The sequence below is a fragment of the Homo sapiens genome, chromosome 8 (genome assembly GCF_000001405.40).
Source record: "Homo sapiens chromosome 8, GRCh38.p14 Primary Assembly".
In the NCBI taxonomy this organism is placed as follows: domain Eukaryota; kingdom Metazoa; phylum Chordata; class Mammalia; order Primates; family Hominidae; genus Homo; species Homo sapiens.
The window spans coordinates 133,436,719-133,463,137 of NC_000008.11; the positions used below are offsets into that span (position 1 = coordinate 133,436,719).

General features: G+C 49.6%; 1 protein-coding gene across 7 annotated transcripts in view, besides 4 other annotated features; it reads right to left on the bottom strand.

Moving 5' to 3' along the window:
* Positions 12,572-12,730: a silencer, noted in NCBI's record as "fragment chr8:134461533-134461691 (GRCh37/hg19 assembly coordinates)". NCBI's record gives its function as "represses an EF-1alpha promoter that drives an FKBP-Casp9 reporter gene in an ReSE screen in phorbol 12-myristate 13-acetate-treated (for megakaryocytic differentiation) K562 erythroleukemia cells {active_cell/tissue: K562(+PMA)}" and the evidence as "EXISTENCE:reporter gene assay evidence [ECO:0000049][PMID:32094911]".
* Positions 12,902-12,951: a silencer, noted in NCBI's record as "silent region_19563". NCBI's record gives its function as "represses an Ori minimal core promoter by ATAC-STARR-seq in GM12878 lymphoblastoid cells {active_cell/tissue: GM12878}" and the evidence as "EXISTENCE:reporter gene assay evidence [ECO:0000049][PMID:35858748]".
* Positions 16,249-16,749: an enhancer, noted in NCBI's record as "H3K4me1 hESC enhancer chr8:134465210-134465710 (GRCh37/hg19 assembly coordinates)". NCBI's record gives its function as "activates a minimal SCP1, AML or CMV promoter by ChIP-STARR-seq in naive H9 embryonic stem cells {active_cell/tissue: H9 hESC(naive)}" and the evidence as "EXISTENCE:reporter gene assay evidence [ECO:0000049][PMID:30033119]".
* Positions 16,750-17,250: an enhancer, noted in NCBI's record as "H3K4me1 hESC enhancer chr8:134465711-134466211 (GRCh37/hg19 assembly coordinates)". NCBI's record gives its function as "activates a minimal SCP1, AML or CMV promoter by ChIP-STARR-seq in naive H9 embryonic stem cells {active_cell/tissue: H9 hESC(naive)}" and the evidence as "EXISTENCE:reporter gene assay evidence [ECO:0000049][PMID:30033119]".
* ST3GAL1 (ST3 beta-galactoside alpha-2,3-sialyltransferase 1) overlaps positions 18,130-26,419 on the bottom strand; it is a 117,040-nt gene continuing 108,750 nt past the window's right edge. For all 7 annotated transcript variants that reach the window (XM_017013736.3, NM_173344.3, NM_003033.4 and 4 more), the window contains 2 exons: positions 25,157-25,276; positions 18,130-23,219 (listed from right to left, as the gene is read on the bottom strand). In XM_017013736.3, the coding sequence (XP_016869225.1) occupies positions 23,046-23,219; positions 25,157-25,276 (294 nt within the window). In that variant the 3' untranslated portion in view covers positions 18,130-23,045. The remainder of the gene's footprint in view (positions 23,220-25,156; positions 25,277-26,419) is intronic.

A 26,419-nucleotide genomic window follows, 5' to 3' on the forward strand; every position in this document is an offset into this window, starting at 1 on the left:
ACTCAGGAGAGCGTGCTAGGTAATTTACACAAAGGGGTCCTGGGCATCTGGACTTACTGAGCTCCTTCTCCTAGATCAGTTTTGCATTTCAACAGATACCTTCAAAGTCCAACAAAGGACAGCAGTGTTATGTTGTTGGGAGCCCCTGGGTAAGTAACTGCACGTCCCTACATGTGGAGCTGGTGGCCCCTGCTCCCTGGCTCTCTGCAAGAGTCAAAGAAAGCAGATACAATGGTGGACACTAAAGTATAAGGGAAAAGTCAGAATGCGAGTCTAAAGCAAAGAACCCCAGGGATCTAGATTGGTCCTCCTCCCTACCCCAGGTGGACCCTTCCGTGGAAGGCAACTGTCCAAAACTCCCTGACTGGAGCCTTTGGCCTTGGTAGGGTCCCCTCCATCCCACTGAGGAACATGGGCTCCAAATCTTATAGAGGATCAGAATAGGAAAGGCTTTGAGGGACCATGCTGCCTAAACCCCATATCTTACAGATGGGAGACCTGGGGTCCAAGGAGAAACAGGGTGGTCCTATGGCTTCCCAGTGAGTTGGGATCAATGTGGGAAGGAGTCTCTGACCTTGACCTCTAGTCCCCTTTCATTTGCACTCAGCTCCAATCCTTCCATTTACCCATCTACCTATCCATCCAACTTTTAAAAAGCGATGCCCTTTTCAATTCAACCAGCCCTTACTGAGCTCCTACCAGATGCCAGGCACTGTGTCAGGCACTGAGAACACAAAGAAAACTCACACATCTCTAACTCAAAGCTCCCCATTACGGGAGGTAGACAGAAACAGAGAAACAGTTCTGATCAAATGAGAGCAATAGTGGTCCTGGCAGCTCTGGAAGCCTGATAAGGGATAGAAAGAGGCGACTGATGCTCCAGCCAAGGCTGGAACGGGCAGGGGATGATTTTCTCATAGACCGGAAGGCTGCTCCCATCCTGGACGAACTAGTCCAGTAGCAGAAATGGAGACAATCGCTGGCAGCCACAGCAACTAGCTCAGCAGGGCTGGGGGACAGGGCCCTCGGGGAGAAGAATTTAGGGCCTTTTCACTACAGCTTGAACTTGATTTTGCAGGGGGTTGGGAGCTCTGGGAAGAATTCAGCCAGAGGGATAATCTGATCAGCCCTGCTTTTTCCAACACTCCCACCCTCACTGTGTCTACGTGAGCCAGGGCAACGAGACTCCCACTGACCACGCAATCATGGCCCAGAGTGGCGGTGCACTCTGCATTTTCCATCTTACTTCGGAAAGTTCAGCGGGTAAAGGGAAGCCACGTTTATGTAACAGGAAGCCTGATTTCCAGGACGTGCAATACAATCAAAGCTCTATTTGTGGAACAATTCTGTGGGCTCCAATTTCCTTAGAAACTCAAATGAAACCTCTGCCAATGGACAATGGAAGGGCTCAGCTTTTCTCTCTCACTGTTCCTGTTCTGACCCTCCCTCCTTATTTTTCTCTGCTCCTTTCTATTCTAAAGGCCTGCTGCTGGGAATGTGTAACCTGTACCCCCTAATCGGGGCTTCTAGAAGAATTCCCACCCATCGAGCACAGGACTGGACAGCTGCCCTGCGACTCAACCTGCAACAGGCTCCTGTCTCCCCAACCTCTGGCGCTGAGGCCCAGCAATGGAGATGCTTGACCCCTACATTCTCCCCAAAAGCAGTAAGGGGGCTAGCTTTATCTAAGCTTTCTATTGTTGCTAATGCCCTGTGAGATTCTGAGCACGTCTTCTAACCACCCTGGGCCAAGGTTTTGACATCCATGAAAAGGGGTTATTAACACATGCTCTGCCTGTCTCATAGGGCTCATTATCAAATCAGAAAATATATAAAATTTTAATATAATATTTATATTCATAACATGAATATTATAATAATATAAGATTCGCATTTAATATAATAAATATAAATTTGTTTATTATTTTTAGTTGTTTTTTAAGTTGAGGTGAAATGTGTATAACATACTGTTAGCCATTTGGAAGCGCAGTACTTAGTGGCATTCAGTACATTCACAATGTGTAATCACTATTTCTATCTAGCTCCAAAATATTTTCATCCACCCCAAATATAAGCCTGTCCCCACTAAGCAGTCACTCCTCATTCTCCCCAACCCATGACACCCCTCCCTCCCCCAACCCTGTCAGCCACCGGTCTGCTTTTTGTCTCTATGGATTTACAAATTACGGATATTTCATATAAATGGAATCATATGACATGTGACTTTTCCTACCTGGCTTCTTATACTCTGTATGATGTTCTTGGGGCTCCTCCACACTGCGGCATGTACTTCATTCCTGTTTATGGCTGAATAATATTCCATCTTATGGTACAGTCGGCCCTACCTATTTGTAGATTCTGTATCTATGGATGCAACCAACCACAGATTGAAAATATTTGACAAATTTTCATCTGTGCTACATACGTACAGACATATTTTCTTGTCATTATGCCCTAAACAATATGGTATAACAGCTATTTAAATAATATTTACATTGTATTAGGTATTATAAGTAACCTAGAGATGATTTAAAGTATACAGGGGGATGAGCATAGATCACAATATATGCAAATACTACAGCTGTTTATATCAGGGACTCAAGAATTTGCTAATTTGAGTATCCATGGATTTTGTTTTTATGGATTTTGGTATCCGAGAAGCACTTCCCCACAGAAACTGGGTGATGACTGTATATGCCATAATTTGTTTATCCATTCTTCTATTGGCCATTTTGATTGTTGCCACATTTTGGCTATTGTGAATAGTGTATGTGTTTATTTAAGTACCTGTTTCCTATTATTTGGGGTTTATGCCTAGGAGTAGAATTGCTGGGTCATATGGGTAACTCTATGTTTAACTTTTTGAACTTCATGTTTAACAGCCAAACAGAAGCTGCACAATTTTACATTACCACCAGCAATGCACAAAGACTCCAATTTCTCCACATCCTCACCAACACTTGTTAGTTTCCATCTTTTCTATTATAGCTATTCTAGTGGGTGTGAAGTGTTACCTCAGTGTAGTTTTGATTTGTATTTTCCTAATGACTCATATGTTGAACATCTTTTTAATTACTTGTCATCCATTTATATATCTTTTTTGGTGAAATGACTATTGACACCTTTTGCCCATTTTGAATTGCCTTTTTATTGTTGAGTTTCAAGAGTTCTTTATGTATTCAGGATATTGGGCCCTTATTATGATTTGCAAATATTTTCTCCCATTCTTCAGGTTGTCTTTTAAAAAATGATTTATAATGCTAGTTAGAAATAATTTTAAAAAGTTGTGTAGTAGTAGCTTTTGTATTGCCTTACTTACTGTTTGTTATTTATTTATTTAGGACACTAGCTATGTTCTAGCAACTGTGCTAAGAGCTTTACATGCCCTTCCCTTCCCTCCCTCCCTCCCTCTCTCTCTCTTTCTTGTCTCTCTTTCTTTCTATTTCTTTTTCTTTTTTTGAGACAGCGTCTCACTTTGTCATCCAGGCTAGAGTGCAGTGGCATGATCATGGCTCACTGCAGCCTCAGCCTCCTGGGATCAAGTGATCCTCCTGCTTCAGCCTCCCAAAACATTTACATGTATTTTATAATTTATTCTGGAGGTACAGTCATTTTTACTTTAAAGAGGCGGAAATGAAGGAGCAGAAGGGCTTTGCATGTGTTTTTCTGCCTGCCTGGACATCCTTCTCTGGCCTCTTCACTTGGCTAACTACTGCTGTCTTCCCATCTCACCCAGCCCTTCTGTCTCCTTCCATCAGCCTGGGCTTCCTCTAGCAGTGAGAGGTGTCTTCTGGGTCCCTGAGGCATCCTGCCCCCTTCCTATCAGGCTTGTTCATTCAATGATAATGTTCCCCCACTAAGCACCCACCAACCCCCCGACTCCCTGACTGCCAGGACCAAGGGCCTCTCTCTGTGTTCCATAACACCACATGCAGTGCAGTGCACAGTGAATGTTCAATAAGGTGTATCTCCTAGATGAAGGTGCTCACTGCTGTTGAAGGGGATTGGGAAATGTTTCAGTGTGGAGAGTAATGGTTATAGAATAACAAGCCAATAAATAAAATCCAAAAAATACATCACCCTCTATTATTGCAATTCTGTTAAAATACACCTGCATATATAAGGAGGGGGGAAGAAGGAACCACCTACTGGGTTCTTAACTCTCCCGCCCTCCAGGCTTTCCCTCCCTTCCTCTCTCCTCCCCTCCTCACCTCTCCTTTTCTCTCTTTTCTTCTCTTTCTTTCCTTTCCTCTTTCTTTCTTTCTTTTCTTTCTTTCTCTTTCTTTCTTTCTTTCTTTTTTTCTTTCTTTCTTCCTTTCCTTTCTTTTCTTTCTTCCTTTCTTTCTCTTTCTTTTTCTTTCTTTTCTTTTTCTTTTCTTTCTCTCTCTCTTTTTTCAAAAAGAAAGAGGAATGGCCTTGTATTTCTGTAAGAGAATCCAGTTAGAACTTCTGGAGCTTTTGGGCTCTTTTGGGATGCCCAGGTGGCTATTGGTGAGGCATCTCAGACTGCCCTCTTTTGAACAATAGAGCTGGCCGTCCTCGAAGCTATTGGGTGCCCACTGCCCACCTGGGGGAGGGGGGCATTGAACCTGGGAGTGCAGCTAACCCCTGACCAAGTCTTTGTGACAAAAAAAAAAAAAAAAGCCCCAGAGCTTGAACTTGAACTTGGGTCTTCCTTCCCTTCCCTCCTTCCTTCCTTCCTTTTTCTTTCTTCCTTCCTTCTTTCTTTCTTTCTTTCTTTCTTTCTTTCTCTCTCTCTCTCTTTCTTTCTTTCCCTCCCTCCCTTCTTTCCTTCCTTCCTTTCCCTCCCTCTCTCTCTCTCTCTCCTTCCTTCCTTTTTTTTTTTTTTTTTTTTTTTGAGACAGGGTCTCACTCTGTCACCCAGACTGGAGTGCAATGGGATGATCTCAGCTCACCGCAACCTCTGCCTCCTGGGTTCAAGTGGTTCTCCTGCCTCAGCCTCCCAAGTCGCTGGGATTCCAGGCATGTGCCACCATGCCCAGCTAATTTTTGTATTTTTAGTAGAGATGAGATTTCACCATGTTGGCCAGGCTGATCTCGAACTCCTGACCTCAAACGATCCACCCGCCTCAGCCTCCCAAATTGCTGGGATTACAGGCATGAGTGACCGCGCCCGGCCGGGCCTTTCTATTATAAATTGATTCAGTCCAAACCAGTTCAATTCCTCACACACATTATGTGCCTGAACCGGTCTCTCCCCTCATCTCTGGGGATCCAGGGTAGTCCTGGTTTTGCAGGATCTCCAGGCCATCTGGGGAGACACATGCTTCCTCCCTTAATCCCAATACGAGTCAGACTGTCTGGAGAGTGTGAGAAGTAGGCTGGACACTGCACCTGGGCTCCCTCATCCTAAGTCTCGGGGTGGAGTGGAGGCAGATATTTCACTGCCAGAGCCCGTGCTGACTTAGTTGCTCCTTGTGGGATGTTGCTTAACTGAGAGCAAGAATGCAAAGACATTTTTAAAATGTGCATGTTATTCAAATACACGTTCAACTACCACTCCAATGTTTTTCTTTGTGATGGCCCTTAAGATTTCCCTGTTGGCCTCACTCTGCACCCTTTGGTGGCCCCCAGTTTTCTTGGGATAAAGCCCATTTTTCCTAAAAGACCCAAAGGGGCCTGGATCCTGCACCCCTGCTCCCATCTTTTGCCACTGCTTCCCTTGTTCCCAGGGTCACTGGTACGAAGATCATCTGCCTTGTGATTGTGCCCTACTCTCCCTCAGCACTGGGACTTCACAGTGCTCTTCCCTCTGCCTGGCACACTCTCTTCCCCATTCCGTGCTTGGCTAACTCTTATCCCTCACATGTCAGCCTAATGGCCTCTTCCTCCTGGAAGTCCTCCTCCTCCTGGAAGTCCTCCATGACTTCTCTAGGCAAACTCAGGCTCTGTACTCTTCCTTGGTCACTTGTCACACTGTCTTCTGGTGGCTAGTTTGGCCATCTCCATTGGGAGAATGCAAGGATTTTATCAGGGCAGTAAGAGCCTCTGACAGCTATTACAGTGCTGAGACCAATGAACTTGGCTGGAATGAATAGATGTGGTAGCTATCCCCAGGTTCTTGTGGGGCATCTGAATCCTCAGGTAAGGGCCAAACCAACTGTTATCTACCCCAGAGGTTGCAGCCAAGACTGAGGCACTCATGTGCAGGGAGGTTGTTGGTGGTTGCAGGAGGCAAGTCCCCTTCTTAGCTGACAGCTCTCCAGCCTCCTTTCCACTGTCCTCAAGCCAATGGGCTCTTGTCCATCCAGTCCATTCACACAGGACAGAATTGAGATCACCCGAATACTGCTGCCCTCGCCCCACCCCCCACCAGGCCCAGCTCAGGAAGCATGCAGCCTATTTCCTCCTCTGCCTCTTCTGTTGGGGTAACGAAATGCTTGCCAACCCCTGTGGCATCCCACTACCCTGGATTACCAAGTCTGGTCACATGTGGGCTCCAGAGAGAAAGAGAAGATGTCAGCTATACCTCCATCTTCTGCTTCTGCTGGGGTTCCGCTATGCTGCTGGAAGACACCTGGGCTTTGAGATCCAGCAGATGTGGTCTTGCTCACAGCCCTGCCACACACTGGCTCTGTGAATTTGGGAAGTTATTGAGCCTTCTGAGTCTTGTTTTTTTTTCATTTTTCATCTCATGAACAATGTCACTGCTGCCACTGCCACCTCCACCGCCACCACATAGTGAGCTTGGTGCTCGCTATGCAACAAGCACCGACCATTCTTCACTTCATCCTCACAACAACCCTCTGAATCCCTATTTCCATCATCTAAGGGAGGGAACAGATATCCACCGAGAGCATACTATGCACTGAGGTGAGGTACCAAGAACCTCATGCGCTGGCACAGGACAGGTAAGACAGAAAACGGCAATGGGCTGGAACAGTGAGAGAAAACCACATGGCATCTTGTGGAGGATGATCTCATAGATTATAGGGATGGATTGAAGTTTGGGAGTTGGTGGGAGAAAGTGGACTCAAGGCAAGTCCTCGTGGCTTAAGCAACCGAGCAATGATGGAGTCTGGCCTGAACTGAGATGGGGAGGGCCTGGGGATGTCTTGGCGCACTTCCTTCTCCATGTGCAGTGCCGGACCCCTGGCGCCTGTAGCCTTGCTCCATCAGGGCCTCATTGTAGGATGAGGCGAACAATGTTTTTACTTGCTGTGGAGACTAGAGGTGGTTCCTGGAAGCACCCAGCTCAGTGCTTGGTGGAGCAGGTGCTCACTGGATATTTACAACTCCTGTTGCTCAAGTGCCCCTTCTGGTCCAAGCACGTTCCAGGCTCTGAGGACATCGTACCAAGTACAAACTGAGTCCTGGTCTTCAGGGGCCCCAGGCTAAGGTTAGAGATGGATGAGTACTGAGATGACTCCAACTACGTGATAAGAAAGCTTGGGATCCTTTAGAAGGTCTCTGTGCTCCTATGGGGAAATCATGGAAGACTTTCTGGAGGAAATGACATCAAATCTCGGATCAGAAGTTGGCCAATCCAAGGAGAATGAGAAGAGCACTTTAAGAAATACTGAGAGCAGGCACTGAGTCCCAGAGGTGAAGTGCAACATGGGCCCTCAGGGACTGTTGCCTCACTGATGGGGCCTGTGGAATGTGGTGAGGAAGAAGGTTGGCTGGAACCAGCTCCTGGCTCTCTTTGGAGTTTGGTTTTTACTTTTTCCTCAGTATTAGATAAGAAAGTAATGTCTATCAAGATAAGTAAATTCTTGCATATCTACTAAGTATACACACATTGCTTATAATTAACCCTTTAAATACCCCTTGTATAAGTTTCCTTATTTTGCAGCTAAGAACATGAAGTCTAAGAAAAGATACCAGGACTAACAAGTGATCTGCTGCAAAGCCTTTATATCTGCCACCATGTCACTGTCCTTTAATGAATGTACTGAAGACAGATAAATTCCACTGAAATGTAAGCTTCAAGATGGTGGACGTTTTGTCTGTTTTATTCATTGCCATATTGCCAACCCTAAGATGGAAACTAGTATACACTCAATAAATATTTGTTGAATGAATGAAATGCTTTGAGAAGTCCATTATCATCTTTTAAACATGTTTTTGTACCTGACAAAATTATGTGTATATTTATATACTTTTATTATATTTCTACATAAATATATGTATGTACTTTTATCATATTTATATATTAATATATAAACATATATAATATATACTTAACATATGCGTTACATCATATCTTTTAGTGTGTCACGAGAAAACTTTTTTGGTGAGAAAAACTAAATTCTCTTAGCAATTTTCAACAATACAATACAATGTTATTAACTATAGTCAGCATAGTGTACAATAGATCTTGTAAACTTATTCCTTCTATTTAACTGAAATTTTGTATCTTTTGACCAGCACACCTAGTCAACCTCACCCCTAGTTTCTGATAACCATTCTACTCTCTGCTTCTATGAATTCAACTTTTTTAGATTCTACATATGAGTGAGATCATGTGGTATTTGTTTTTCTGTGCCTGGCTTATTTCACTTACCATAATATCCTCTATGTTTATCCATATTGTCAAAAACTACAGGATTTCCTTCTTTTTAAAGGGTGACTAGTATTCCATTGTGAATATATACCACATTTTCTCTGCACATTCACCCATCAATGGACACTTAGGTTAATTCCATATCTTGGCTACTGTGAATAGTGCTGAAATAAATATGGAAATGCAGATATCTCTTTGAGATCCTGGTTTCATTTCTTTTGGATATATACTCAGTAGTGATATTGCTGGATCATATGCTGGTTCTCTTTTTGATTTTTTGAGGAACTGCCTTACTATTTTCCATAATGGCTGTCCTAATTTATATTCCCACCAAGTGTGTGCAAGTCTTGGTCTTTATCTTGATGGGGGAGCCAGTGAAAGTCTGAGCATATGAACAACATAGTCACTGCAGTAAATTAAATGAGTGGCCCCAGTGTCTTGTAATGGGGTACAGCTATACCCTTGCCGTGGCTTCCTAGTGCGAAGAGAGTCTTTCCTCATCATTGACGCTGGGCTATCTTTTCTAGTTATCCATTGCTATGTAACAAACTACTCCAAACCTTAGTGGCTCAAAAAAAAGAACAAACTAAACCCAAACAAAAAACTAATTTACCCAGCTCACAAACTTGCAATTAGGATAGGTCTTGGTGGGCATGATTCATCTCTGTTCCACATGATAGCAGTTGGAGCAGCTCAATGGGGACTGGAGAATACTCTTCCAACATGGCACCCTCACCTGGTTGGTGAGTTGGTATTGGCTTTGATTCCTGTCCATATGGTCCTCTCTGTGGGGCTGCTGGAGCTTCCTTGCACTGTCATGGCCAGCTCCCAAGAGTAAGTGTCCCCAGAAACAGAAGTTGGAAGCTTCCAGACTCTTAAGGCCTGAACCCAAAACTGGCATAGGCTTCCCTGCCATTTTATATTAGTTGAAGGAGTCAAAGGAGCTTGTGCAGATTCAAGGGAATCTGAAGGAACACTCGATGGGAGGAATGTCAGAGAAGTGGTCATCTTTAATCTGTCTCATCATGTGATTTTCTTCAGTTCACCTGATTTAAGAGGACATAACACAAAGGCTTAAATGTGCTTTACCAGTGGGACTTGTATCCTTGTGCTCCTGCATTATGCGGATGTTCTGGACAAAGAGTGATGAGTGGACAAGACCTGGATGCCCTTGCAGGCTGAAGGTAAGTGCAAGTGAGCAAAAACCTGGAGCAGAGCCTTCTCAGGTAACTAGTCTCATAGTTTGTTATGCAGCATTACTATGGCAAATAGCTGACAGATACAATCAGATTTGGAATTTAGATAGATTTGTTTGTACACTGTGTAGAGAATGGATTGGAACATGGTAAGATAAGTAGCAGAAAAGGAAATCTGTAGCTAGTAGGTTCTTAATATCATCTCATTAGAGATTACAGAAGCAGAATGGACAGAGTTTGGTGATGGGGCAGCCATGGAGGATCAGAGAGAGGGAGCATCCAGGATGGTGAGCTGGCCTCTGCCTGGCATACCAGGGGGGTCAGTGTGCCTGCAATAGAGACCCACGGAGCAGGAGCAAGGGAGAGGGGAAGATGAGGATGGTGGCATGGGCCTGTGGTTGTTGAGAGTTTTCAGACATCCAAGAGAAGCTATTTAGAAGGTTATAGATGTGGGAACCCGAGTAAGGAAAGAGAGGAAAATGGGGAGCTGGGTACCCATGGCCAGGAAGAGTGTGCTGTGACTGTGGTTTATAGAAATGGGCCAGGGATGGAGTCTTGGCGAGTGCAACTAGTTGAAGGCAGTGTTGACAGTGGGGGACCTGCGAAGTGCTTGAGAAGGAATCAGAGAAGAAAACAGCAAACAAGGACAGAGGCGTGTCCTGGAAGTCACTGGAGGGCACCTTTTTGGTAAACTCCTAATTTACCCTCAGCAACAAGCTTGGTGTGACCACACTCTCATCTCTGAGCTGCATGAGCACTCTCCCTGCCGCCTGCTACACTCCTCCACCTGGGGCTGCTCAGTGCTCTTGGACAAAAGAATCTTCTGGCATCACCTGGTATTCCCTGGACAGGGCTGGCTCGTTGGTGATGAACCAGCTGACAGGGGCCACCACTGTAGTGCCTCTGGAGCAAAGCTGAAATTCTCCGTCCCTACGACCTTGAGGGGGATGGAGTGCGAATCATCACTAGCCAGGGCTCATATCATTTCAGGCACATTTTCTCTCCAGGAGCTCGATCTCTGCTGGTGCTAACACAGCATCAGGTGTCTTGAAGGCATGTGTAATGGCTGTTTCAGGGATGCTGCAATGGTACGGTTTGGAACTCAAGCTTTGAGCCTGACTGCCGGGTTCACATTCGCGGCGATGGCTGCTCAGCCATGCACCCTGGGCGAGGTGGTCCACCTCTCAGAGCACTTGTTTTCTTTTCCGTAAAACATGCATGTCAGTGAGGCTCCCTGTCCCCGGGGTCATGTGAGAAGCAGATGGGTGACCTCATGCAAACACTGAGAATGGGCTGAAACATGTGAAATACTCAGCAGATGTTAGCTCTTATTCTACTTAAATAAACAGGATTTTTATTTGCACGCCTACTATGTGCCTGGCATTGTGTTAGGTGCTGGACATTCAGAAGGGAAAAAAGAACACCATTTCTACCCTCAGTGAACTTCTTTGTAACTATCCTGGGAAGTGAGCAATTAGGCAAAAAATTGTAAGACAGACTGATTTTTTTCCAAGCCCTCCAATGTACAGATTTGGAAACGGAGGCACCAGAAGCCAGTGTAGGGAAGCAGCCAGCTGTCTGCAAAATAGCAAATGGCCTGGATTCATTAGCAGAACCCACTCTCTTTCCATTGTTTCTTCCCTGATGTCCAAATTGCTGTATAGCATCTCCAAAAAGCAACTCTCCAGCCTTTGCCCATATGGCTCTGAGGACAGAGCTCACTTCCCCATGAGACAGCAGCCCAGCCATCACAGAGTCTGCAGTAGGAACAGGCTTTTGCAGAAGGGGCCAGAGGCCACCAGGAGCACACCCAGCTCCTATCCAGCACACCAGCCTTTCAGACAGCAGGAGGCAGGGATTGAGACTGGGGTAAACAGCCTTGATCCCAGCACATCTGTCCCCTGGAGTCCCTGCCGAGGGCCTGCCCTGGTCTGTCCACCCCACTGAGCCTGCAGCACTCCTGTCCCCTGGAGTCCCTGCCGAGGGTCTGCCTTGGTCTGTCCCACTGAGCCTGCAGAATGGAGCACTCGGCCTGTGTTCGCTCAGCACTGACAAGGGCAGCACCAGGAGCCTCTCACCAGTCGGCTCCAAGTCCAGGCCTGTGATATCGAGGAGAGGCATGAGGGAGCTGGTTAGTGCCCCTCCACTGTTCCGGAGGCTCCAAGGCACCTTCCAGTTTTCTTACAGCTTTGATTGGACAATGTAGCTGGTTTTGGCTCCAGAGCTTGATTGAAAGCGATGGGTATCGACTCCATGGGGAGAGTTAGGAGCCAACAAGCCACCTTTATCTCCTTCTCCCCTTGTGCAGTGACCTTGAAAGGCACATGCTGAAGTTGAAGTTGGCAATGTCCCAAGATGAAAACAGCTGGGTAGCCTGAGCCGCCACATGCAGGGCTCACGTAGGACACTGCAATTTCCATCAGACTTTGACCCGGCAGTGAAGAAACCTTTGTTGTTCCATCTTAGGTTGTTGGGATTGTGGAGTTTGTCAGTATTGTAGCAGCAGCCTCTTCTGTCCTGACTGAGACAGAATCAGACCTGGTTTTTAACCCTGGTTGATCAGTTATGAACTGTGGCTACAGACACATAACTAATAGTCTCTGTGCCTCAGATCTTCCATGAGGATACCACCCCCATGTCATTCATGGGGGTTGTTGTGAGAATTAAAGGAGAAAATGCGTGTGAAATGCTTGGCACACAGAAAGGACTCAGAAAAGTCTGCCTGCCGTCTTTCCTTAATATATACTATGTCACCTTATACCCATTTTATAGATTAAGAAACTGAGGTTCAAAGAAGTCAGGTTTTCCCCATTGGTCACACAGCTAAGAAATCACTGCAGAGTCAAGGATGAAGGGTGGGAGAGGGAGGCCAAGTAGAAACACCAAGGTGTGGAGGTCTGGGCAGGCAGGAGCCGGTGGTGCCACGTGGCCCTGTGAAGCCGTGGGCAGCTGGTCAGACACTCACCCTTGCTTGGGGCTTTGACATTTTCCAACTGGACACAGACTTCTTCTCAATCTATTTTGTTAGCTGGATGACAGAGATATAATCTCCTCATCTGGAAGGTGTTGTCCTTGTTACTATCTAAGATCAAGTTCTTTTAAGTTCTGGCCTTACACGTGGGTGTGTGGCTTTTCCCTTGAGGTTTTCAGCTTGTGTCTGGTTCCCAACCAAACCCCATGTTGAATCTGGTGGAAGGTGGGTCCGTTGCGCCCTCTGGTGGCCACCATCACCAGGCGCTCTTGGCCAAGGTCCTAATGAATAAACCTGGCCGTTGGGCCGGACCAGCTCTGTCGCCGTGAGCCAGCCATGGGCACTCATCTTCAAAGTGCTTTTCTCTGGAGCAACACCGTCCCCTGTCCCCACACCCCTGGGGAGTATGGCGCACTTGCAATCTTTACCCGGGACTCAGGAACCCCAGCCCTTGCGATTTAAGTTCTGGCTACATCCCTAACCCCCTGGTAAGTCACTTAACCTCCTTGAGTGAAGCTCAGTTTCCTCTTTAAATTCCCCTCTCGAGAGACCAATGCCTCTTGGCAGGATTGTTGCAGGATTAAACGAGCTTAATGGAGGTAAAGCACTCAGCCCCCGTTGCCAGCGTGTGAAAAAGAACCAGCCGCGGTCATTAAAAGCTCCTTTATTTCATGGGTGTTGCAGCTGTCTGGCTGCCCGCCCGTCCCCCCACTAACTCTCACACTCTGGTGGCAGAGACCTTCTCTTGCCCATCTCTGTATCTCTAGTCCCCATGGCCCTCAGTGCGTATTTGCCAAGTGAAATATATACATAAAGCACATTCGCTTATCACAGTCCTGTGAGGCAGACACCCCCGGAATCACTGTTCCCGGTTTGCAGAGAGGGTCTATCCGTGGACCCCGGTCTTTGACTGCTGGGGCCTGTGACTGTCCATGGGTGTCCATGACCCAGTCATGGCGCCCTCTAACGCATCCTCTCTAACTTCAACCCGGCCCTCCACCCTAGCCACCAGCTGCCTGTACTCACAGTCATTTTCTCCGACGGTTCACAGTCCATGGGAAAACGTTCCTCCATTGTTCTCTCCTCCTGCCTTCGCCTCAGCTCAGCATTTTATCTCCCCAACTCTAGGGGAAAAGGAAGCTATCAGACGGCAATGACCTCAGCTTCGTGCCGCTAAAGCTGTCTGCCCCTGCCTGGATCCCCACCCCGGCCCCTCACCATCCTCTTGTGATGGAGGCGGGGGTCCCTCCAAGCCCCTTCCCTCTCGAGGGCCCTGCTCCACACTCCTCCTTCTCTCTGCTGCATCTTCCTCTCTCTACTGGCTCCTTCTGGACAGCATTTAAGTCTGCTGCAGTCTCTGCTGCTAGACAAAGCATCCTTCCTCAAATATGTGACCTTCTCCTTTAACCCTGCACCCACCCCTCATGGCCCTTCCCTGTTTCTCTCCTGGTACACTGCTGGAGTGCCCTACTCACTCCTTATACATGGGTCTTTGTAGCTATTACTCTATTCCAGCCTAGTTTCCACCTCCATCCCAAAGAGAGCTTGCTCTTACCCAGGCCATACATGGTGCCCCTTCACCTCTCTGGGGACAGGCGTCACCAGGGCAAGGCCTCAGTCTCCTTGAAGTGACCTTGCTATAGCCTCAGAGGCACCACGAAGCCAGAGACCTGTGGCCTCCCTGGCTGCTTCTTCTAACCTCCTTTCCTGTATTTTGCTCCTTGGACCATCTCATTCAACTCCCTGCAGGCCACATGCAGACCCAGGGCTTCGTGATCTATAGCCTGATGAGGCCCAGATTTCTGTCTCCAAGTGGGTGGGGTCTTAGGGCCTCAATCCCATTACCCTCAGTATGGGCTCTGAGCTAATGGAGGGATTGATTCAGGAACCACCTGCAGCTGTGTTCTGAGTCAAGCTGAATTGGGGCATGTGGCTTAGAATTGCAGCAAAATGTCCCTGCTCGTTATCTCATCCAGTTGAACTGACTTTCTATACCCAAACACAACCTCCTCTTTGCGGCAGCCCCATCAGCCTGGAAGGTGAGCCACATGGAGCCACGTGGGGGCCCAGAAAACAGGAAGCCTCTGCTTTTCACAGCTGAGCTGAGAGGTGACTGAGCTGAGGGCCCCAGGGTCTGATCAGTCAGCTGAGTCTTTTCCACCTGCAGGAGGTGCAGTTCCAAGGGAATCAGAGGAGGGCAGAGCTGCCGTATTCGGGGGGCTTAGGGCTGGGGAGAGGGAGAAAATGGTTCCCTGCACCAAGCTCCCTCCTCGACCACCATCTGCAGCCCGCTACTCCATGTCCCCTGCTTGGCAGACATGGGTCATTAGTCTACCCCTTACAGCAACCTTTCAGGGCAGGTGTTATTATTACTTCTATATTTTGAGGGGGGAAACTGAGGCTCAAAGAGGCCAAGTCCCTTGCCTGCCTGAGGTCCCTTACCCTGTGAAATGGTGGCAGTGTTAGTGTGGGCATGTGAGTCAGCTTAGGCTACCATTAAAAAAATACCATAGATCACTGATTTAAATAGAAATGTATTTTCTCACAGTTCTGGAGGTTGGAAATCTGGGATCAGGGAGCCAGCGTGGTGGGGTTCTCGTGAGGCCCCTCCTCCTGGCTGCTGATGGCTGCCTTTCACTGCAGCCTCACATGGTAAAGAAGTCTCTGGGGTCTCTTCTAGGGCACTAACCTGATCATAAGAGCCCCCAGTCACTTCATCAAACCTTAATTACCTCCCAAAGGCCCCATCTCCAAATACCACCCCAACAGGGTCTTAGGGTTTCAACATATGCATGGGTGGGGGTGGCACAATTCAGTCTCTAGCAGTAGGACTGGAGTCAAGCACTTGCAAGATATTGGGGGGATACGGGCACGTAACAGCTGCATCTCTGAGAAGCAGGTAACCTGGAATTTGCTGAACTATGAGGACCTCAAGTTTCAGCTGAAAATGACCAGGAGAGCTTTGACTCTGACACGTGGATGAAGCTTCACCTTGTTCTCCAGGAATGGTTGGGCCCAGCACAGGCATCAGAGGGAGGGAGGGGGCAGGGCAGATAGATACATTGTTACCATCATTGCTATAGGGAATGTCATCAGGGTAATATCCCACAGGTGTTTGAAAATGACCCCCAGAATCCTTGAATGAAGCAATGGAAACAGCAGAGGCTGGCTCTTCCCCAGCAGGCGAGGAAGGCCTGGAGAATCATAGATATTTCCTCTCCAGGTCCCCTAGGGCATCAGCTTCCTGGACATGCCTCAGATAGCCTCTGTCCCCTAGTAGGGGAGGAGACTCTGAGGGCACACAGACAATTTCCTTTTGTGGCATGCAGACATTCAGTGAATCCTGTGTGAATAAACCACCTGCCAGAGGCATTGGGAGGACAAGCGGGGAGGCTCCTATGACTGGACATTGGAGGACAGGGCCACCCCCACCCCCTACCCTGCTAGGTGACACTGTGGTCAGGCAGGACGGCTGCCCCTGGAAGGTGCTCACTCACAGTCAGGGGCAAAGTGGCAGCCTCTGAGGGTCACCCCTGGTCACTGTGGGCCATCGACAAAAGAAAAGAAAGAAAAGAAAAACGAGGGGGCATGGGTGGGAAACACCAGCCATGGCTGAATGTAGAGAATGACCCAACAGGGTCGCCACACTCTCCTTTCAATCCCTGTGCACATTAAATATCCTGGGAAAGCGAAGAGGAAATCGGAAAGTTCCACTTAGGAACTTCTTTTTAGTCCCTTCGCTTTTTGTTGACGGCCAAGCATGTGTTTGGAGCAGCCTCGCGGTTATTCCTAGGACTTCCCAGCGTTCCCAGGCCAAATCCTGGGAGGATCTGCATTTTGGGGAGGGGTCGGGGGGGTGCAGAAGCAGATGGGCCTTGGCTCTGGTCCCAGCTTCCAGGCAGGTGCCGGGGTGTCTTGGAGGAATGCCTTTAGGCCCTCAGGGCTGTCCAAGGAGGGCCCTGACAATTTCTTTCCCTGGCCATGGGCTCTAGCCTGAGACCAGGGTGCGATGTGCAGGACAGGGCGGCCAGGCGCTGGAGCCCTACAGAGCTGGCCTGGAAAAGCGGGCGGCGGGGCCGACTGCAGCATAGCACCACCTCGTGGCCGCTGGTCCACATTGCAGCTGTGATGTGAGGCCAACCAGGAGCGAATTTGGGGGAGGCTGTGTCTCCTATAGAACGGATGGCTGGGTGGGAGCGCGTGTTAGCGCCAGATGACGGCAGGGCCCTGTAGGGAGAGGACAGAGAAGTGATAGGGCAAGGAGGAAAGGGAACTCTAGAGTTGAAGAAACAACTTAAAGAAGATACACAGGCAACATGAAGGCCCGTGGCAGGGGGCAGGAGCAGGACAGAGGCATGGGGGGAGGGAAACAGACCGGGCTCCCCGACAGAGCCTTGCTGTTCATTTCAGTCTTGCACACAGCTCCTTCTCCTCTCCCGTGTCTGATGTACTAATAACTAACATTTGTTGTTGTAAGCCTTTTGCGTGTGTTAACTCATTTTATCCTCTATGTGTATTTATATAGAGGTATTATATCATTCCAAACTTATCCATCAGGAGATTAGGCAGCGAGGTTAAGTAACTTGCTCGGACTCACACAGCTAATAGGTAGGACCCAGGGCGGCCTGGCTCCAGAGCCCCTGTGTGAATCTCTGCCCCATCCTTCCTCTGGGGGCTGCCCTCAGAAGGTCCCCATAGACAGTGTCTCAAATAACTCAACGTCTTTGCTAAGCACAGAGTGACAGGGAGGCGGCAGGGCAGACAGGAGGCCCGGGACTGGAGAGAGGCGCCTGGCTGTGAACCCACCTCCGCCCTCAGCCATGCAGCAGCCCGCAGGGCTGTTCTGAGTTAAAGATCACGCCCATGGAGGTATTGTGTGCCATACAAACTGGGAGGCCTGGTTACTGTGTATACCAATTTTATCTTACAGGCTCGCAACATTGGGTTTCTGAATCTGTTTTTTTTTTTTTTTAAAGGGAGATTAGTGCCAACTTTGGACCAAACTCTTGTCCATCCCTGGGTGTGCCCGTCTCTGTCGGGGGAGGACAGACACTAGCCCAGCCCAATCAGGCCCTGGCCAAGGTGAATTCACTCAGCAAACGTTCAAGCAGGTGGTGCATGTCTACTGGGCCTCTGGAGATGCTTTTGTTTTTACTCCCACATCCCCTCTGAAGGCCAGTGTTGTCGCGCCCATTTAATACATGAGACACGCAGCTGAGGTTCAGAGAACTTAGGTGACTCGCCAGTCACACGGCAGGTAATGGGACTCCTGGGCTTGAGAAGAGGCCTCTCCAAGGCCTACGCTGGGGCTCTCCTCTGTATCCTGAATTCTGGCCATTCGGTAGTGGCGACGCCAACCCAGGAGGCCCTCTGAGTTGGAGTGTTGAAGGAGGCGCAAATGCATGACCCTTGTAGAAAAGCAACAAACACACCCAAACAATAAAATAGCTCTTTGTTTATTCACTTTGATTTGGATCATTGGAAATATTAAACAATAAATAAAACAGAGCGGGGGCTGAGGAAAGCAGGATCTTGCTGAAGTCATTCGAATGCATCCCAACCAGTGCTCAGCTGCGTAACGACATGGAGAGAGGCAGGGGGGAATAGAAAGCAAATTTAAAAACACCAACACCCAAACACACAAGACTGCACACAAGAAAAAGTGCTCAAGAAACTTTGGCTTTGAAGGGAATTCAGTGAAGGGAAGCGATTGTGCAGGAGGAAGGGAAGAAACCCACGATCACCCTAAGGGGCGGGGGGCTGGAGGGCGAGGCCCTGAGACAGGCTAGGGTTAAAGCTGACGTCCCACAGCTCAGGACGTACAACCGATGGCAGTTTTGTACTAGGAAGAAGCTGAGTGATGAGGCTGGGTGATGGGATCGCTTGACGGGCTGGGAGGGAGGACAGGAGGTGTAAAGGTGGCTCACCTTCCCCTAGGAAATTCAGTGCTCTTTTGGTAAGAAAAAATAGTCGGTAATGCCCTGATCCTGACAAGCTGTGAGATGCTGTCTTGCCTGTCTCTGCCTTTTCTTCTAAGTTTTCCTCCTTTTCTTTGCACAGGTGTCAGGTAGCACCCCAGGGGTGCAGGAGCTGGTGTTTTCATGACAAACAAAAATGGGGAGGTTGACTCTATCTCAAAACTAGCTAGCCCAGTCCACAGGGCAGGATAATCCTGATGGCGTGTAGCCACATTTGCTGCAAACCAGATGTCTGCGATGGATATAATGATACCCCCGGGGCTCTTCTCAGGGGTGAGGACAGGTGCTGGTTCCTGATGGTGCATGGCTGGTGTCCAGTCATCTTTAGCTGGGCAGTGGCCCCTCGAGGCTCGGGCTTCCCTGCACAAGGTATTTTTGATCCTTGCCAGCGGAGGGAGAGAGAGTTATCTTGGTTTCCTTTCACTTGTTTTCGGGCTGCTTCAAAGCAAACATCCCAGTTCCAAATGTTCTTTGTGGTTTGAATCCTGGCAGAGGCCAGGGTCACATCCAAGTGGGACTGGCCTCTAGCACCACCTTCTGGCCACAGCAGAGAATGGGATTCCATCAAAGCCTCTCAACCAGCCGTTTCCCTAAAGAATCACCCAGATCTTAACTGCCCTCTCCACCTTCTTTTTTTTTTTCCCTCCTATTTTACATTCTATTTTCTCATATCCAGCTTTTCTCTCTAAGCCTAACCAAATGCTTTGGTGAATGATGCTTGGAAAAGCTGGAGTTTTAAAAGGCATTCATCCATTTATGAACTTTCTTCCAGCCCAGGATCCCTGCAGAGAACCAGAGGTTACAAATCTGCCCTCCTTTCTCCCCTAAAAGGTGGCTGAGGGGAGGAGAGGTGCATGTAGCTCCAGCTATAGCAAATCAGTGCCCTGACTCACTGGGGAGACCCAGGGGGTTGGGATGTTGCTGACACCTCATGGGCCACCTCATCAGCCCATCTTTGTAGCTTCAGGTTCAGCTCTGGGTGCTGCAGGCAGGGACCCCTCTGCTCCCTGCCTGAATGCAGGGCCAGTCTCCAAGGAACTCTGTCTGCAGAGTAGAAAGAGCTGTGGGCTGGGAATCAGGGGCCTGAGGGAGCCCCTGCCACTGCCTGCCCAGAACCAGTGCTCCTCATTCTCCTGCTGACAGCATGCATGTGCCTTTTGGCTAACACACACTCTTGTCTAATTCCCAGCCACCTTCACCCCAGGGATGAGTTCCAGTTGGTTTAAGCCAGACTGGTGCATTTAATTCTGGCTGCAACAACTGGATTCTGTTAAGTGCCCATTGCTAAGCCAATGAGCTATCTGCTGGGCTGTGGGAAAGAGAAATGCAGTCTCCTGCACGGGAGGGTGTGAGAAGGCCACCCAGGCAGCCTGCAGCTAGAGCTCGGCGCTGAGAGAGCACAGGAGAGTCAGACACCTCCATTCTGGTTACACTTTTTCCAGATGCTGAATGGAGACTCGCTGGGAAAGCCCGCCTCCAGACAATTTCAACATAGCGCCGGTAACACCCTAGTTTTGCTCAAACTCTGACTTGTGCTATCTGTCCCAGACAGTTCACGACTGCCCGTCACTTCCCTCCTTCACACTGCACCAGGAAAAGGCCACACCTCCCTACACAGCAGCAGCCTTTTAGGAAATGTGCTCTACAGGAAAAGTGGTTTTTCTGATTAAACATCAGGAACTAGAGTCAACAATCGCTGTCCTCTCCCGTGCCTGTCACGCTCCACTCCCCACCCAGCTGCAATGTGGCCTTGATTTTCTCATCAGTAAAATGGGAAAGCTGGATTTGGAGGCTGGAAGAGATCTCACAGCTTGACCACCCTAGTAGGAGGGAGGGAGACCAGACGGAGGCCAGGCAACCGACCCAGGCAGCATCTGGCTCAGACGCAGACACATCTTCATGTTGAGGGACCTATTCTTACACAGCAAAACCCAGAGAAGTCGACTGCTCAGCCTGAGCCTGTCATCCCTATATAGACTCAGCTTTTAGGAGAAGAGGGAGAGTTGAGGAGATAGCATCGCTCTCTGTATCAGTGTCTGATGATCTGGAGTCTGCCCCTGGGGTCACTCAGTCACTCAACAAACATTTGTTGAGCTCTTAACGTCATATATGGGTGTGAGCTCTGCCCTTCGAGGCTGTATGTTCTGAATGATGACTCAGTGATTTACCAGCCTTTCTCAGAAAAAAGAAAAGTCTTTAAAGTTTTGGAGGATTTTAAAGCTGAAACAGGTTTTCGGTTTGTTTAACACATTCCCCATTCTGAACCTTTGAGAATCTAATAAAAGCTATGGTCCTTTCTCCAGAAAAATGCTCATATGCAGAGATTCAGGGAAAAAACCAAACTTGGCACGCAACTTCCGGGGACTCTTGTGAATGGCCTGAAGCCACCTGTGACCCATGACTGATGTCCCCAAGTTCCTCCCTCCCCGTGTGCAGAGGGGGCTCCCCCGAGCCTGGGAGCACAGGCCCCATGCCTCCGTCACACTCCACCAGGAAAAAGTCACGCCTCCTCAAAGCAGCAGCGACCTTTTCAGGGATATTTTCAACAAGAAAGTGGTTTTTCTGCTTAAACATTAGTAACTGGAGCCAACAATCACCGTCCCCCACATTCCTGTCACTCTCCACTCCACACCCAGCAGCAATAAGGTTTCACGGAGTTTTGGAGACTCCTAGCCTGAGAATAAATCCAAGTCCACAATGAGGAAGAAGGAAGGTTGGGTTGGGACGGGAGGATGCTGAGGACATTCCACAAACCATCCAAGCCCTAGATACCCCCAATATCCCACGTCCGAGGACTCCTACAAACCTCCCTTAAGCACCCCCACCTAATTTCCCAGCTACTGGGTGAGGCAAGCTTCATTAAAACACCAGGACCACCAACAGAGCCAGGGTGCAAACAATGTCAGTTGAATAAAAAAAAGAAATCAATAAATAATCAGGAAGGCTAATGAGGAAAAGAGAGTAGCTGGGGAGTAAGAAGATGAGGTATGTGGCAGTTACCATTCCTGGGATGTCCTTGACCCAGACCCCCAGTGACAGCCCCAAGATGGCCAGCAGGGACTTGACCCTGAGCTCAGGCCCTTGGGGAAAATGCTGCTGGCAGCCTCCTGTGTGGCTTTGGAGGTTACGGGCACCATATTGAACAGTCTGAGAATGAGAATGTACGTTCCATTCTGACGCACTGCTGGGTGGTGTTGAGTATCCTCAGAGCTTCGTTGCAATTCAGGTGCTGGCTCAGGAAACCAGAAAAGATGTTCCCAGCTACGGAGCAAGCAGGGCCGCTGGTGGGGGTCCCTTTTCCCAAGTAAGGGCTTTTGTTTCATTTCAGCCAATGCATGCTTTTCTTTCCCAAATACAAAGGCACATGGAAGTGGTCAGATCCGCTCTCGCCACGATTAGAACCATGAGACTGACTACTCAAAGGAACAACTGCTTGGGAAGAGGCATCTGCAGGAGTCAGAAACACGGTGCCAAGTTTGGGGTTTTTTTTCTTTTCTTTTTTTTTTTTTTTCAGAGACAGGGTCTCACTCTGTTGCCCAGGCTGGAGTGCAGTGGTGTGATCACAGCCCACTGCAGCCTCGAACTCCTAGGCACAAGAGATCCTCCCTCCTCAGCCTCCCTAGTAGCTGGGGCTACAAGTGTGTGCCACCGTGCCTGGCTAATTTTTTTAAATCTTTTATTTTTGTAGAGACAGGAGTCTCACTATGTTGCCCAGGCTGGTCTTGAACTCCTGGGCTCAAGTGATCCTCCCGCCTCGGCCTCCCAAAGTGTTCAGATTACAGGTGTGAGCCACGGCACCTGGCCTCAAGTTTCTGTGAAAATCTTTGGGGTAGGAGCCTCTGGTGGCTCATAAATGAGCTTTGGGAAGATGACAGGGTTATCACGCCAAGCAAGAGGCCAGGCTTCGTGCAAAGAAGGGCAGCATCTCGCCCCGAGCGCCAACACCGCCTGGCACGTCTCTGTGCTGGAGGTAATCGCCACTCAAGTCTCTGCCCATCTTCCTGGGAAACTGTCCTGTCTCTCAGAATATAGGCATCTTCCACATTCATTCCCCAAGCTTGCCCCAGGAGCCAAAATGATTTTAGTGTGTGGAGGTTGAACCTTTCCCAGCGTCTCCCCAGCTCTAGGGCAGCAGTGGGGGGACGTTGTCCCCACTCAAGACAGGTTCCAAGACATGCTCTGCCACGCTGGCAGAGCTTAGTGACCTTGCTGAGTAGATGCTGCCAACGGCTGGGTGCAAGAGGCTGTGAGCGGTGCCCAGGCACACACCTGAGGCTGCCCCTCCAAGCTCCGGGATGGAACGGCTCCAGCAAGATGCTGGGGCTGGAAATGCAGAGGTGTGACAGTGCGTCCATCCTCAGCCCTTCACTGCGTCATCTCCCCTTGAAGATCCGGATTTTATTGATGGAGGCCAAGGTGGCCGTCACGTTAGACTCAAAGTCTGCATCGTGCACCCCCGTCTTGCGAAAAGCCCCCGCGGATGGGTTGTTCTCCCAGTAGTGGTGCCAGTTCCCTTTGCTGTCTGCCCCGAAGCCGTACAAGTCCACCTGTGGGAGCAAAGCAAAGATGAGAACCAGACAGCAGGGCTGCTGGTGGCACCTCTGAGAAAGGAAGCCTGTAGGCGTTCCTGGAATCCCACAGGACCATAAACAGCATTTCCAAGGACTCTGACTAACCCTTCATTAAAAACCCTTCTCTACGTTCCTGGAACTCTCAGAGTCTTGGTGAAGCAAATGCAAGTTAAGTAAAACTCAAGTCTAATTCCAGAAGCACCCTGAGAGATTACTGCATCTGGGTGGTCTCAGGGGCCCGGGTCTTACCTCTGCAGCAAGTGCAACCTATTCTCCCAGGATTGAGGAGCTACAGAGGGAAGGAATAGGAAGGAGGGCGTGGAATGGAAGAGAGTGGAAGGAGAGCAGGGCTTTGGGGCCAAGCAAACTGCCCCAAATCCCAGCTCTGCCACTCCGTGGTGCCCTGGGCATGTGAAGTCACTTCTTTGAGCCTCACTTTCCTCATCTGGAAAATGGGTCCAAGAATCATGATTGCAGTGAGGCAGAGGGCAGGGCTGATCCCTTTCTTCTCTGTGGCCAACATTCATCTGGTCCAGGCGCCCTCAGGGCCACTAGACCAGGCCTTTCACATACATGACAAACCCTGTGCATTTATTCTGAGCCCAGCACCCTGCTGGCTGTACTGAAGTTCAGGCAGAGCTTGATCAGATGCCAGCTGGGCAGCTGCAGGGGGAAGCAGCCTTGGAGCTTATAGCTTCTTGGAGTCACTGACTGAGTGGTCCTTGTTGGAAATGGGGCTAAATTCAGGGCTCCCGCAGCACAGAGGAGGGAGGAGCTATGCCCTGAGAGGTCAGAGGAAGCTCTTCAGAGGAGGTGGCATGTGAGTTGGGTCTTGGAAAATGAGTACAAGATGACCAGAAGGAATTGCATGGAGGGGCTTCCAGGGAGAGGACGTGCTATCTGGGCTGCAGCGTGGAAGATAGATTGGAGGGGTGGGGACAAAGAGGGGACGGGGACAGCACCATGCCACATGTGGCTTTCTCAGGAAATGCAACATGGACATGGGCCTGCTCCAGGGCAAGAACGTTAGGGCCAAATCGGTGGGACGATGGGAGAAAGGGCTCTTGAGCAGAACCTCAAGCAAGGGTCTGGGACCAGCTGGCTGGAGGTGGGTGGGGTGGGGAAATGACAGGGGCACCCATGTTTCTACCTGGGAACACCAGGGTGGGGCTGAGCCTGGGGACCTGCCTTGCAATGCCTCTGACCCTTTCTGAGATTCCCACCAGGCACCAGGCAGGGTGGGGCTGGGGCTGGGCTGAATGAGACAAGAAGGGACACGTGAGGGCCCTGCCTGAACCCAACATCAGGGAGGAAGTGGGGGCTGTGTGGCCTGCCCTCCTGCCCCTCTTCCTGGGGTGGCAGCAAACCTCTCAGAGCATAAGTGGAAACCCGAACACAGCCTAGCGGACAGCGAAGGACATGGGAAGGCAAATGCATGCTTCTCGAGATCACGGGTTCTCAACCTCGGTAGACAGTGGAACCCCTGGGTACCTGGCTCCCATTAATTCTGGTAAAATTGGGCCAAGGTGTGGCTTGGGTGCTGGAACTTAGACCCACAGATGATTCTAAGGAGCAAGTGGGATTGAGAACTGTGGCCTTAGACAACTCTCGCTATGAGAATCCGCTTCTGTATCCGGAATCTGCTGCGAGATCCGAGCTTCCACCACCACGGTCCTGGGCACTTACACAGAATGTGCCAGAACTATTGCTCCTGAGAACTTTCTCATAGAGCACTGTTACTCACTAAAACACCCTGGGAGACACATGTTGCAAGTCCTGTCGTAGAGACAGGGAATCCGAGCTTCCGGAAGAGGCAGGCTAGGTCTACCTGCCCTCCCCCTCCCTGGCCTCTCTTGGGAACACAGGACGGTGAGCTTCGAGGCAGCCCTGTGGGCAGGGGGAGGGTGGCATACCTCATCGCAGACATGCATTGAGAAGATGACCGAGAGGATGCCGGTAGATGGGTATCGCCCGTGCCCTTGCAGCCAGTTGTCAAAGACATACTTGATGAAGGCTGGGTGGTAGATCAGGATCTGCGGGGATGGGAAGACACGGCCCTTAGTGAGTTCTGGGGGGCAAAGGACATGGAGCGCCTGTCAGATGTACATACTGTTGTGGCCATGGAGGCACAGCCATGAGCCTAATAGATACGCCTGCACTTGTGGGCTTCCATGCTCGTAGGAAAGATGGACACTCATCCACATCACTAAGAGACAGAGGTGCTGAGCTAATAAGTGCTATGGAGAGCAATGATGCAGAGGAGGGCCCTACAGGACCGTGTGAGGAGGATCACTGAGCTGACACACAGAAAAATCCAAGGAGGCCAGGGAGTGAGATGGGAGGCTGCTCAGGAGAAGGGGGCTCCAGGGAACAGTGTGAGGTGGGACTGGACACTGTCAGTGAGTGAAGACATATGCACCAAGCCACCTGATGATGGCTGGAATCATCGCCAATCCTTAAAATGACCTCATGTCCCAGGTTTCCCTCTCCTCATGCTGCAGATAAGAAAACTGAAGCCCAGAGAGGCTAAGTGATCTGCCCAATGTCACACAGCCAGCAGTGGCTGAGCTGGGAGGAGGCCGATATCAGGCCTGGCCTTGATTCCACCACCCAAAGCCTGCCTTGAGCACAACGAAAGGGAATTCTCAGGCAGGAGAGGGCGTGCACGTCCAGAAAGCCAAACTCCAGCCCCTAGGAATGGACTGGAAGGGTGGATTCTGTGGGTCTCTGGTAAACCATTCACCTCTCAGTGTGGCCTCCTACCATCTCTAGGAGGCTGTCCCTTCCACCAACCCCACCCTATAGAGACACATAAGTGGCTTCTTCCCTGAGGCAGCACAACCCAATGCAAAGGGCAAGATGCTGGAGGCACGGGGAGTCTTCAATTCTAGCCTTATCCAGAACTAGCTGTGTGTCTCTGGGCAAGTTTCCTGACCTCTCCGAGCCTATCTAAGTTTGATAGAGTATGCAAAAGGCCAGTGTGGTGGGTACCTCACTTCCCTCCTTCTTCTGCCCTTTGCCCATCTCTTGGCCAGCCCCATGCCAGGGGCCTGCTGGGGAAGATGGAGACATGGAAAGAGATGGAGAAGCAGGAGGTGCAGCCTGGCTTTGAGAGTAATTCACAAACCGCAGCAAGCACAGGGGTCCCCGGAGAATGTGTTAAAACCAGAATGCGG